This window comes from Homo sapiens, chromosome 5, assembly GCF_000001405.40.
Source record: "Homo sapiens chromosome 5, GRCh38.p14 Primary Assembly".
Taxonomy (NCBI): Eukaryota; Metazoa; Chordata; class Mammalia; order Primates; family Hominidae; genus Homo; species Homo sapiens.
In genome coordinates, this window is record NC_000005.10 from 36,195,975 (window position 1) to 36,209,647 (window position 13,673).

At 33.8% G+C, this 13,673-nt stretch overlaps 1 protein-coding gene across 8 annotated transcripts in view; it reads right to left on the minus strand.

Moving 5' to 3' along the window:
* NADK2 (NAD kinase 2, mitochondrial) overlaps positions 1 to 13,673 on the minus strand; it is a 49,691-nt gene that overhangs the window by 3,386 nt on the left and 32,632 nt on the right. For 4 of the 8 annotated variants that reach the window (NM_001287341.2, XM_024454360.2, XM_005248241.5 and 1 more), the window contains exons 8-12: positions 12,651 to 12,716; positions 11,196 to 11,291; positions 5,132 to 5,187; positions 4,253 to 4,306; positions 1,567 to 1,690 (exon numbers count right to left, since the gene is read on the minus strand). In NM_001287341.2, coding sequence (NP_001274270.1) covers positions 1,567 to 1,690; positions 4,253 to 4,306; positions 5,132 to 5,187; positions 11,196 to 11,291; positions 12,651 to 12,716 — 396 coding nt within the window. The remainder of the gene's footprint in view (positions 1 to 1,566; positions 1,691 to 4,252; positions 4,307 to 5,131; positions 5,188 to 11,195; positions 11,292 to 12,650; positions 12,717 to 13,673) is intronic. The other 4 variants (NM_153013.5, XM_047416706.1, NM_001085411.3 and 1 more) reach the window with 1 other exon arrangement.

The following is a 13,673-nucleotide window of genomic DNA, read 5'->3' on the forward strand; positions in this document are numbered from 1 at the left end:
TAGTAGTGTGTTCATTTTTAATGCTGTATGAAATCACTTCTGTTATATGAAAACACCAAAATTTATATCTCTCTTCTACTATTCATGGACATTTGGGTTTTTGGCTATTGGGAGTAGAGCTGCTATGAATATTCTTGAATGTCTTTGCGCACATATTTCTGTTGGTGCTTACATTTCTTTTGGATGTATACTTCAAAGGGGAATTATTGGATCACCGTGTATGCTATGTGCAGGTTTGCTAGGTAATTGCCAAACAATTTTCCAAGCTATATATTCCTAACAGAAATTTAGGAATATATAGAAAGTTGTAGTTGTTCCTCCTTGCCAACAATTGGTACTTTAGCCATTCTGGTGGGTGTATATGGTAGCGTATTATGTAGTTTTAATTAGCATTTCCCAGATGAATAATAAGGTCAATCATGTTTTTTGTGTTTATTAGCCATGTGAATATCACCTTTTGTGAAATGCCTGACTTTGGCCATTTTTCTGTCATGTTGCCTGCCTTTTTCTTACTGTCAGTAGGAACTTTTATATACTAAATATTCTGGCTATGAGCCCATTGCTGGATATAGGTCCTGAAAATATCTTTCTCGCTCTGCCTTTTTGTTTTCTTAATGGTATCTTTGGATTACTGGCAGTTCTTACTTCCAGTGTAGTTCAATTTGTCAATCTTTTGTTGTTATAGTGCTTTTTATGACATGTTTAAGAAATCTTTTCCATGTCAAAATCACAAAGCTATTCTCCTATTAGCAAAAACTTAAATATAAGTAGTATATATCTTTGAAGGAGTCTTTGTCGTCTCACCCAAACTGAGTACACATCTGTGGATTAATCAAATTAACTCTCAAATGACAACATGAATGTTAAGATAAATTTCCTTATTTGTGTCTAACCTGGGGAAAAAATTAATTGTATGTCTATAAAAAGAAAATATGTACACTAAGGTCAGCAATTTGTTAATTGCTTAAGCTGTTTTCTGCTTGCCATGAGATAGATGACATTTTCTCCGAATTTTAGATTTTCTTGTTAATTTGGAAAATTGGGGAACCTTTACAAAATAAGAAATTACATCCACTTTTTTATATCCTCTCTCCCCAAAAATAAAATGAAGCAAATTCAATAGGCAGGAGGTCACTTTTAGGGAAAACCTAGAAGAAATGAATACTATTCTAAAGGTTTATTGCTATGCAATCTAAGTTTTCTATCAGTGTTTATTGTGTTTTTATTCTACAGCTTATGAAAAAGAAGGGGCTTTCTATTCAGCTTCTTTTACAATTATTGTGTCTTCGTTCATTTTTTAAAAACCAACAAATCACTGAAATAAATAACTGTACCCTTTCTAGTCACTTAAGTTTTAGCTTCTCTAAAATGGCACAATGAGTGTAAAAGAAAATATGATTTTAGCCGGGTTAGCATGATACCTTGTTACTTTCACAGGTTCTACTTTTCCTGCTAGATTAAGTTTGAATGAGCAAATTTAATGAAATTAAATAGTTTTCAAACCAAGTGGGCTTTGTAACAATGAAAGGGATGAAAACAGTCAGAAGTCAGATTGAGGATGCTTACTTTGAGGAGAAACAACGCTGACGACTGCTTGAGAAAACTCTATTTGCTATTGGTTCTCGAATACTGAAAAGTATTTTTGGTTCTTCCGGACTGTAGAGCAGTGATTCATTATATTCATTTGTTACTACAAAGAAAAAAAAATTAGCACACTCAATAAAAGATGGTCACTTCTGAGAAGGGCAAAACAAAAAATAGATGCCATCCCCCATTTAAATTCTGTTCCAAAAGTATATTTGGGAACAAGTTTCTTGAAACTCGTAACACATATTCCATTAAAACACAGTAACAAAAAACCTTATAAATAAGAATTAGGTACCATGATTTGCCCACAGAAACATACATCACCCACAATACAGTAGGAATAGGTACAACTGGGGAAAAAGAAAAAAATAAAAAACACTAGCTTCAAAACTTGTAATTAAACAATAGAGGAATTAGATAGATGCACTCAAAAAAGGAACTTGAGTTGCCATATGGCCCTACCAAGTTCTTTCCAAAATACCATGTCAAAGAGCTCATAACGATGATAATAAGCAAACAGCTTGATATAAAATGCAGTCTCAAACAATGACAGGCAATATCCTTTCTCCAATACACCCCCATTACTCAACATATTTTCTAGAAATCTTTGGGACCTGCTTTCTCTCTAATCAAGAGGTACAGGAGGGCTGGAATACAAAGCACAAATTGGTTGAGAAAACTACAAAGATATCAGGCTTGAAAGTTTAGTTGAGTACTACATTAAAAAAATTAAAAGACTGTCAGATAATCTACCTTATTTATAAAAGTTTCATTTGAATTACTGACTTTAAAAAAAATCTAATTCACCCACAAAAATAAAATTTGGCTTCATGAGAACACACCACAAAAAAGCATGCTAGCTCTGAAGGAAATTTCAAGAGTAATTTCATAAATGTCTGTAACAGTGATTGCATCACTGGCATTCACTGTTGCTTCTGAAGATAGTCAAATCTTGAAAGGAATGCCATTCATTAAAGTAAAGCTTTGGTATGTTTACTAAAAGAAGAAAGTCACAGATATTTTTATATATATATAGATATAATATAAATTAATATATATATACATCCTTAATTTATATATATACCTGATATAAATTTCAGTTATTTTATATATATTATTTTTTAAGTTGAATTATATAATTAAGAAGCAATTACTATATATACCTAACTTTCCTTTGATACAGATTTACTGCTGGTGCTAATTCATGAACCATGATTAAAATAATCTTGTAGGTCTCAAATTGAGTGAAGGAGACCAGAATCCATTTTAGAAGGCTGAACGGGGCTTGAGAGATTTGCTTCTTTTTTCAAACTATTTTAGAGGCAAACTGTCCCCCCAACAAAGGAGGTCTTATGTGGAAACCTAACAATAAAGATAAACTGACACTGTTCAAATATTGTATCAGGTTATGTTCTCACTCATAGGTGGGAACTGAACAATGAGAACACATGGACACAGGAAGGGGAACATTACACACTGGGGACTGTTGTGGGGTAGGGGGTGGGGGGAGGAATAGCATTAGGAGATATACCTAATGCTAAATGACGAGTTAATGGGTGCAGCACACCAACATGGCACATGTATACATATGTAACAAACCTGCACGTTGTGCACATGTACCCTAAAACTTAAAGTATAATAATAATAAAATTAAAAAAAAGAAAAAGATATTGCTAACTCATGTTAAGGTAACCAATGAGAATGAGGCCGTTCTGATAAATCCAAGCATTTGTGTTTATGGATGACAGTTGCAGTCTTACATGTGTCAATATTCACTTGGTGTCTATATATTTTTTGTCATATATGTTGAGAAAATACATAGGTTGGTAGATGTAACTTTAAACACATTTGGGTTTGGAGTTTTATAAAAAACAATCTAGCTTGAAATTTTAGGATATCCTTCAATGCAGAGAGCAAAAAAAGCTTTACTTTGAGGTGTGTACAAGAATGATCCTGGTAGATAGTAGACTTCAGTGTGTTACAATCTGATACGCAAATCAAATGAATGTGTTTTTCAGTTTAAAAATTTAAATTGTTTTAAACAGAATTTAAAGAATACATTTGAAGAACTTCTACAAACACCAGCTAGATGATCTACTTTAACCCCCTCTTTTTACAACTGTAGAGGATCACAGCCTTGCCCAAGTTTCACAGCTGATGTAGTAGATCTGGAAATGGAACCTACGATTTCAGATTTCTTCATAAGTATTCTTTCTCTAACAGCACTAATTCTCTTACAGGAATCGTGAGGTAATCAGGCAAAACTAGGGAGAAGAATGTTAAAAAGAATATTTGAGTGAATAAGAAGATAAGCACTCATAGCTCAGTGAATTCCATCTCATTCAGAGGATATTAATGGCTTACTGAATTTAGCTATGCATTTCCTATTTGTGAGATAAGGATTTTTCTGTAATTCCCTATCCCCCAGGACATGTTTGCAGTTATACTGCTTTGACTTAAGAGTTATATTTCAGGGTTGACTAAAAATCACAACAAAAGTCCAACTTTAATCTTTATGTTGCTTAAAGACATTTAAGGGGATATTGTATTAAAAGCATGTTTGAGTAAAAAAAAGTACTTTGCTAATTAAACAACACTTCACACTATCATCCTTAAAACTGAAACAGAACTAAACTGTTAGTGATTATTATCATTTGTCACTGACCTTTCTCTACCAATTCTCTGTTCAATGGAAGACTCAAATTTCCTTGTCGTTTTGCTGTTGAAAAAGGAAAGGGGGAAAATGTATGTTATAAATATATATATCTTATATATATATTTTCCTTGAAAAAGGGGGAAAAATGCTTAAAGTGTATATGTGTTATATATATATATGTTATTATGTAACATAATAGCTAATATAAAACAACATGTATACATTATATAGCATATTATCATAAATAAACAGTAGCCCCCCCTCGCCCTTATTAGCACTTTTGCTTTCCATGATTTTGCTTTCTTCCAGTTTCAGTTACTGGCAGACAACCATGATACAAAAATATTACATGGAAAATTATAGAAATCAACAATTCATGTTTCAAATTGCACATCATTCTGAGTAGCATGGTAAAATCTCACGCAGTCCTGCTCTAACCCACCTGGGATATGAGTCATCCTTTTGTCCAGCTTATCCATGCTGTACATATTACTGGCCCATTAGTCACTTAGTAGCTGACTTGGTTATTAGATCGACTGTCATGGTATCATAGTGCTTGTGTTCAAGTCACCCTTATTTAACTTAATAACGGCCCCAAGGCACAAGTAGTGATGTCGGCAAATCAGATATGCCAAAGAGAAGCCATAAAATGCTTCCTTTACATGAACAGGTGAAAGTTTTCAAAGAAAAAGGTCATATGCTGAGGTTGCTAAGATTTACAATCAGATATATGAATCTTCTATCAGTGATATTGTGAAGAAAGAAAAAGAAATTAATGCATAGTATAAGGGTTTGGTAGTATCCAAGGTTTCAGCATTCACTGGGGGTTCTGGAACTTGTCCCCTGCGGATAAGAGGGGACTACTCCAATAGCTGTTTTGGTACTCACCAATATTTAAAACATCTTCTACAGCCTGAGTTGCAACCCTGTTAATATTGAATGACCTAGAAACAAAAATCACATAATTCTTAGTTTTAATTCTAAAAACATGCTAAAAATCAAAAAGGAATAACCTACTTAAAATATAGAAAATTCTTAGAAATTAGGAGGAAGTTCTAAATGAACAAAGTTAAAAACTGGTAAATAATGTGCTAGTATGGGTATGATGAGACAAGTATTTTCATACATTGATGGGAACAGAGATATTGCAGTTGGAGAGCAATTATGCACTATCAAAATTAAAATGAACATATTCTTCAATCTAGTAATTTAACCTAAAATATACCTCCATCTATAATACACAAAGATAGGTACAAAAATATTAGCTGAAATGCTGTTTATAACAGCAAAACAACTCAAATAGGTACCCATAGAAAGCTGACTGAATAAATTATAGCTACTCATTGATATTAAAAATAATACAAATATATGTGCTGATATGTAAGGATAACCAAAATATTAAGTTAAAAAATAAAAGGTATCATATAGTGTATATGTTGTTTCATTTTAAAAACAAAAAATATATATATAGTATGACTCTAGAGATAAGTACTAGAGATATGAAATGAAAGGGAGACTAGCTTTTTGCTGTATACCCTTTTGTACTTTTTAACCTAGGCAAGTATTCTTTAAATTATAAAATAGTTTCCTTGAAGGTAAGAAATCTTTTACATGTGCAATGCCTTGCTTAACCACTAAAAAACAAGCATTAGTACAAACATGGATAACTTTTCAAAATAGTTCTGTCCCGGGGTCTATAAAGATCACTAAGAAAAGGTTGTTTTTTTAAAAAAATATATTCCCAGTAATTTTGAATTCTTCTACTGCCTCATAACTCTTCATACATGATCTCAATATATAATCCCAAGGAACAGGAATAACATATGAGTCAACGCAATTCTAAATCTAAATTACTGGCTCTTAACGTTTTGGGGGAGTGAGAGTAAGAGATACTCTTATACCTGCTAACCCTGTACCCTTCATGTTTGGAGAAATGCAAAAACATGAGAATTTTTTTCTTAGGTCTACAACCTTCACCATTCTAAGAGTTCTCATTTAAAATCAGACATAACCTCTACTACCAAACTGGAAGACAAACTGAGTATCACATCTTCATCAACTACTAAAGCTCCATCTCCTAAACATACATCTTCATCCTTAATTAAGTCTGGTAGGGCAGCATGTATGGAGAAAAAGGACTGAGAATAATCTTAAGAAGAAACTAATTGAAACATATGGTGATCTGGCTCTGTAGTATTTCTCCCAGTGTATGGAGTAAACCTTATTCCCCACTGAACAGAGAACTGACAGGATAATGGGACAATTCAGAGACATTTGCTGTGTAATACCACCCCTATATCCTGTCTCCTGTGGAAGAATTTTTGGAGATGCAGAGACAGAATAACTATTCCCCAAACCTGTTTTTCTTCCTGAACGCATAGGTTATATTTTCTAGCTCTTCATGCCATATAGTCATGTGACTGAGTTGTAGCTAATGGAATCAGAGTGGACATGATAAACAATACTTCAAAGCCTGGCTCAGAGCCTCCCATGGGGACCCTCCATGCTCTTCCACCTTCTGTAGCACAGCAACCGGAGGAGCTATGTTTAGAAGGTGGTAGAGCCACGTGATGGAAGAACTCTGGCTCCTTCAATAACCACTTACAGGAAGCCACTTGCCAATCAGGAATACTCACTGCAGACTTTACAAGAACAAGAAATAGACTTATACTGTGTTAAGCCACTGAGATTGGTGGTTTATCTTTTATAACAAATAGCTTACCATGAGTCATACATTTCCACATTTCATATTGAAAGCAAAGACTAATTAAAGAATTCCATACAAGAAAAAAAGCCCCTCTCTATCAAGAATTAAAAGAGAGAAAAATAGACTATCCTAATATTTTCTTTCCAATGATTCTTCAGAGGTCTATGGTTTACAGATAGGTTTAAAATTTAAATCACGACTTCACCATTTATTAGCCACATAGCTTTGGGAAAGTCAGTTAACTTATGAAACTTTTTGGATTCTACTTATGAAAATAAAATCACCTACTTCCAGAGTATTTGTGAGAATTTAAACAAGATCATCTAATTAGCTTGGAACAAAAAATGTGCTCAGAGATAGTAGTATGATAAAAACAAAAATTATTAATGTATAGAAATATACAGCTTTTCCCCAGCCCCTCTGGCTCCTCGGCTTCTCTTCTCTTCCTACATTTTTTGAAGCAAAAAGGACAAAAGATGAATGGGAATTGCAATCATAGCAAAAGAATCATCAGTAATGGAAGAGGGGAGAACATGTTAGATGCAAGCAAGCTGCATGGGGCTTGGTAGAGAAGAGACTGAGCAACGAAGGTGTCAGGGATAGGATATAGCTTGTGAGAAAGACTTTTATACTAGAGCACAGGAAATAATAGAAGACTTTAACAAGCAACATAGAGAAGGCTGAGATTTTAATCTAACCCATACTTATCGAAATGCAACATCAACACAGGACTCAACTACTGGGTGCATGTGGGAGGCGAGGAATGCTTTAAAAGCATTGTAGTGGCTGTCATTCCTTATGCTCTGAAAGGCTGAAAACTTGAACTATCAAAATCTATCAAAATTACACCCCTCCCCAGACAGAAGCCCCATTGCCTCTAGCAGAAGCACTACTTCACTGGGATTAATTAGCAAATTTATCTTGATAATTCTTCAGTACAACGTAGTGACTTTTCTTTCAACTATGTGACCTCTATAGACACCTCAGAACCCCTCTCCCTCTCCATTTAAAAATTGACCTTCCCTTGTGAAGCAGCACAAGTAGTAATGACAGTGAAAAGGGCACTGATTTTGCAGTCCAGCACACCTGTGCTTATATCCAGGTTCTGACTCTTACTTCTTGTATAACTTTGGCCTAAATATTTATCCTTGCTAACCCTTAACTTACTCCTTTATAAAATGGGAATGCTACTACTTTCTTCCAGGATTTCTAAAAGGATTAATTAATATATAAACGTACCTAGCACAGTACAAAGTAGCAGGGGCTATATAACTGATAGCTTGTATTACAATGCATAAAAAATAAACATACAGAATCACAGAAGTTCAGAAGGCAAAGTAATCTTACTATTTTATCAGTTCCAATTCCTGCATTTGGCAGGCAAGGGAATTTGTACATAGTTGTAAAGCTAGTCTGTGGTTTAATCAGGTCTCATAACTTGCAGGCCAGTACTCTTTTCAATTATACCACTTTGCCTATTTTTTATGGTAAGAATACTGGGTAAATACAATCTCTATTTCTAACAGAAATTTCCATTTCTATTTCTAATTTCACTCTAGTTTTCAACAAGTAGCATAGCATGTTCAACAGGAAAAATACTATCATCATAAATGACAGAAAGCTGTTAACTGTAATGTTTTCAATTTAATCTATAAGATGGTTACAAAATAATTTTATAACATATTAAAGGATTAAGTTTTTTTCATAAAATTATTGGAAAATTCATTTTAGAAATGTTCCTTTCACTGGCCCTCAGGAAAATAAGTTATTAACCTATCTTTTTAAATGATACTTCTTATTTTTTCAAAAAGACTATTTGGCTAAGTTTTTTTATTGAATACTTATGAATTAAATGATATGATATCTGAAAATAACTTCAGAATAAATAGGACAAAAGTAGATAGGGGTACAGAGGTAACAAGATTGGGCATGTGTTGATAATTACTGAAACTAGCTAATGGTATGTGGGGATTCATTACACTATTTTGTCACTCTTATACATATTAAAAATTTTGCATAATAAAATAGTTTAAGAAGTCATGTTAAACAAGTAGGAAATAAAACTCTAAATTAAACTATACAAATTTAAAAGTTTGATAAGCATTGTTTTAGCTATATACAATTGTGAGCATATAGTCATTTACTCAAAAAATATTTTTTGAGTGAATATATATAAGGTACTGTGCATAAAAAGATTAAGCAGGAAAAAAAAACCCCTCTAGTCGCCATCCCAAATCCATAAAGTTGCTTTAACTAGCTGGGTACTAGCATATTAGATAACTAATAATGTAATAGCGGCTATAATAGTGCTATGAGAAAAAGTGTTAGGGAAGGATGAAAATGATTAATTCACTGTCTTTATGAAACAGGTGAGTGTTAAGGATTTGCTAAAGAGAATGACATTTCAAGACTGGATTTTCAGACAGTGGATAGAAAGTGGAGTGTTCAGGCATTCAAGGCAGGAAGAAGTTGCATTGAGCAAAAATAAAAAGCCAAGCGAGAACAAAAAGTGTGCTGAGAATTGCAAGTAGCTGTGCCAATTCTAGTGTGCCATAGGTGGGGGTAAGGGTAGGGCAGGAATAAGGCCAATAAGATCGCTAAGGTCATATGTTAAAGGGCCTCAAATGACAGATTAAGCAATCTGAACAGAGGTCAATGAAAGTTATAAGGCAGAGAAGAGAGACAGATTTATCTACATTTTAGAAATATTACTCTGTTGTAGATGCTGGAAAGGATGTGGAGAAATACAAACACTTTTACACTGTTGGTGGGAGCATAAATTAGTGCAACCATTGTGGAAGACAGTGTGGCGATTCCTCAAGGATCTAGAACTAGAAATACTATTTGACCCAGCCATCCCATTACTGGGTATATACCCAAAGGATTATAAATCATACTACTATAAAGACACATGCACATGTATATTTATTGTGGCACTATTCACAATAGCAAAGACTTGGAACCAACCCAATTGTCCACCAATAACAGACTGGATAAAGAAAATGTGGCACATATATACCATGGAATACTATGCAGCCATAAAAAAGAATGAGTTCATGTCCTTTGTAGGGATATGGATGAAGCTGGAAACCATCATTCTCAGCAAAATATCTCAAGGACAGAAAACCAAACACCGCATGTTCTCACTCATAAGTAGGAGCTGAACAATCGGAACACATGGACACAGGGAGGGGAACATCACACACTGGGGCCTTTTGTGGGGTGGGAGACTGTGGGAGGGATAGCATTAGGAGAAATACCTAATGTAAATGAGGAGTTGATGGATGCAGCAAACCAACATGGCACATGTATACCTATGTAACAAACCTGCATGTTGTGCACATGTACCCTAGAACTTAAAGTATAATAATAATTTTTTTTAAAGTTAAAAAAAAAAAAGGAATATTACTCTGTTGTAGTGCAGATGACAGCCTGAAGAATAAAAGGTGAGGCACAAAGAATATTCACTAAAAAGGTGCAGGCTTGGACCAAAGCAGCAGCAGTAGAAACCCAAAAAAGTGGACTAAGACTTCAGAAGTACAATTAATAGGATTTAGAGACTGGGATATATAGAGGGGAGAATGAAGAATGGAAAAAAAAAATGCTTTTTTTCTCTAGAGCATGGAGTCAGGGTAAATGCTGATGGTATTCATCAATATAAAGAACACAAAAAGAAAAACTGAAGACAATAAATTCAGTTCTGAATTTGTTGAATCTGAAGTGCTACTAACATCCTATCTGGCATGTAATTTTAGAATATGAGTTTGTACTCAGGAGAAAAGGTATGTTTGGGAGGCATTTATGTGGAATGTACTAAGAAGTAGACGAGATTACCCAGAGGGAGATTATAGAGTAAACAGGACATAGGGATGCACCAGGTTATCTCCAGTTAGGCTTTTAATATACAAACCTCCAGCCTACTTTTTTTATTGTACTTTGTATTCATTTCCTTACAGTTATTTAAAATATTTTTCATTTTTAAGAAAAGATAGTCCCAAAACCACTTCTCATTTCCTTTCCTTTGCAAACCTAGTGCTCAATAATGACCAAATCCAGGCTGTAACTGTAATCCAAGAAGTCAAGGCAGGACTACTAGACCCAAATGATGAATGAAACAGAAACTTGGCCTACCTACATAACACCACCAGGACACCTCTTGCATATTACAGGCCTTAGATGGGCCAAAATATTACATTACTAAAAGTATTTCACAAAACTTGATAAGCAACATCCCAAGTTACTCACCAGGCCTTTGATCCTGTTCCAGTACACAAATTGAGCCCTGAACTCTTCTGTTTTTCCCATGGACCATCATCAACTGAAATCTCATAGTAGGAAGCCCTGTGAATTGAGAATATAAAACTGTTTGCTGAGCTTATGGTTCAAGGTAAATAAGAGAGTCTTCTTCAGAACTAAGGAAATCTTAAGTAAGTCAGCTTACCCAAGAAATACTTGACTTAGTAGGCACACACATCATGATGCTAATTCCAATACTGATTAAGTGAAAAAGTTAGAAGAAATTAAAAAAAAAAAAACTACATGTCTGCATGCCTGTCTGATTTATATATTCCTTTCTGTCAATACTTTAATATTTCAAATAGGAGCTTCTTGCAAATTTTTAGCTAGCATTGTGCTTTTGCTCTTATGGAATCTAACATATACAGAGCCTCATTTCTGAATCCAAAAAAAGAAAATACTATTCTTAAGTGAGTTTCATTCTTGGTAGCTAGTCCTTGATATATTTTAAAGCTGATTCTAATTCTTAAAGTTATTAATAGTTTCTACTAAACTCTTGTTTCTTAAGTTACATGCTAATGTACCTTTTGAATTGGTAGTAAGCTAACAGAGATTAGATAATAAAGCTGTAAAGAAAATTCTCAACCAATACTGGATTAGTGGACAAAACTAGAAATAAACCAGAACTATAAATTTCTTGGGATTTACATTTCTTAAAATATTTCATTAATATGAAATCAAATGGGTTTTCTGGCACCAGCAAAAATGGCACTATTCTTTAACTCCATGAACACATAAATGATTTGTAACTATTCAAAGAACTTTTGCAATGTCTAAAAGCCTATTTTGTAAACTCTATCTTAAAATAATGGTGTCACTGATCAACACTGAATTTTTTTCTCCAGCAAATAAAAAAGTTACGATAAAACCGTAATAAAATACAACTTTTCAAAATAATTACTGGACATGCTTGCAAACACTAACACTATGGATAATTTATCTCTTATTCTAACCTTTACAGTTTATCCTGTAAGCTCTTAATTTGTAAGGGTTTTGCATAATACAACTCCTTTTCACTTTTTTCTCTATAGTCAGAATTTCTTATTAAAAATAAAAGATAGCAGGCCTAATATTCACATTTAATCTATTTCATAGCTTTGTTATGTCTTCCTAGAAAACACACATTAGGAGCCTATTATGTACAGACAAGCCAGCCAAATCCATAGAAGTGGCTGCTACTATGCCAGAATCAAGTAGAAACAAAAGAGATTAGAGGTAAGGGGGCATGGGTAGAAAAGAAGCAGAGGCAGAGAGAAAGACAAGTACAGTCAGGTGAGAGATGCTCAGCCCAAAATAATGAGCAAATTTAGTGTCATTCTCACATGCAAGATTTATCAAGATTAGTCAGTTCATAGAATTTTTGTTTCAGGGAAATTATTTTTTTAAGGCAGCAATAAAACTCACAGTCCCTTTAGAGTGGGTATACTTCTTCTTAAATTGTCCACTGCTACAGCCCAAGAATAAGACATTCTAGGTTAGAACAAATAGGAGAAAAGAAAACAAAATTGGGCCTTTAAAATGTTCTTAAATCTAAGAACATTATAAATGAGGCAGGAATAATATTGCTGCACTTCATATTTTCCAAGCAAGGCACTTAAGTTTTCAGAGCATAGTGAAGCCTCAATACAGGATCTAGAATCAGAAACACCGGGTTTATGTTACAGTTCTGATGCTAGCTAATTATATGACCTTGTGCTAGTTATTTGAACTCTCCAAATCTCAATTTTGTCACTAATAAATACAACCACCTTTCTCACAGGCTTGCTATGAGCATTAAATGAGATAGCATACACAATATACGCAGTGCCTGACACACAGCAGGCATCCAATAAATGTCCATTTCCTTTCTGCCTAATGGTCTATGTCATAAAATCTTTAAAAGTGAGTTCTAATACCTGCAGTAGTTAAACTATTTTCAACAGCATCAGAAGCCAATCCATTGCTGTCCTTACTTAGTAAAAACATAAGGTGAGACATCAAAGAACACAAAAAGCAGCAGCATCAGTTATTTATGAGATAAACCAACCAGATCATTACTGCCACAGAAAATAAAAGCATTCGATTGAAAATCCCCTCAAGAAATTTCACTAACTCCCCCAAAATCTATCAACTGATCCAAGTTTTCCTCCATTTATAAGTTATTTAATTTTTTAGTAAGTACAAAATTATAAAGCAAAGCTAGCTCTCAGCAGTTACCTTTAAAATACACAAACAGAATAAAATAAGCCATTAAATGGCTTCCCTGAAGTAAGCATAAACTCACAAAACATTTTTATCATTGCATTTATTTAAGGTAGACTTTCTCCAATCTCATTTAAAGTTCTTCCTCTCTTTTCTATCTTATGTCTTTAGAATAATAACTAGATTGTATCAGTAGAGTTAAATTTTCTTTCTTCTCTCAACTACCACATAGTATCTATAATTCAT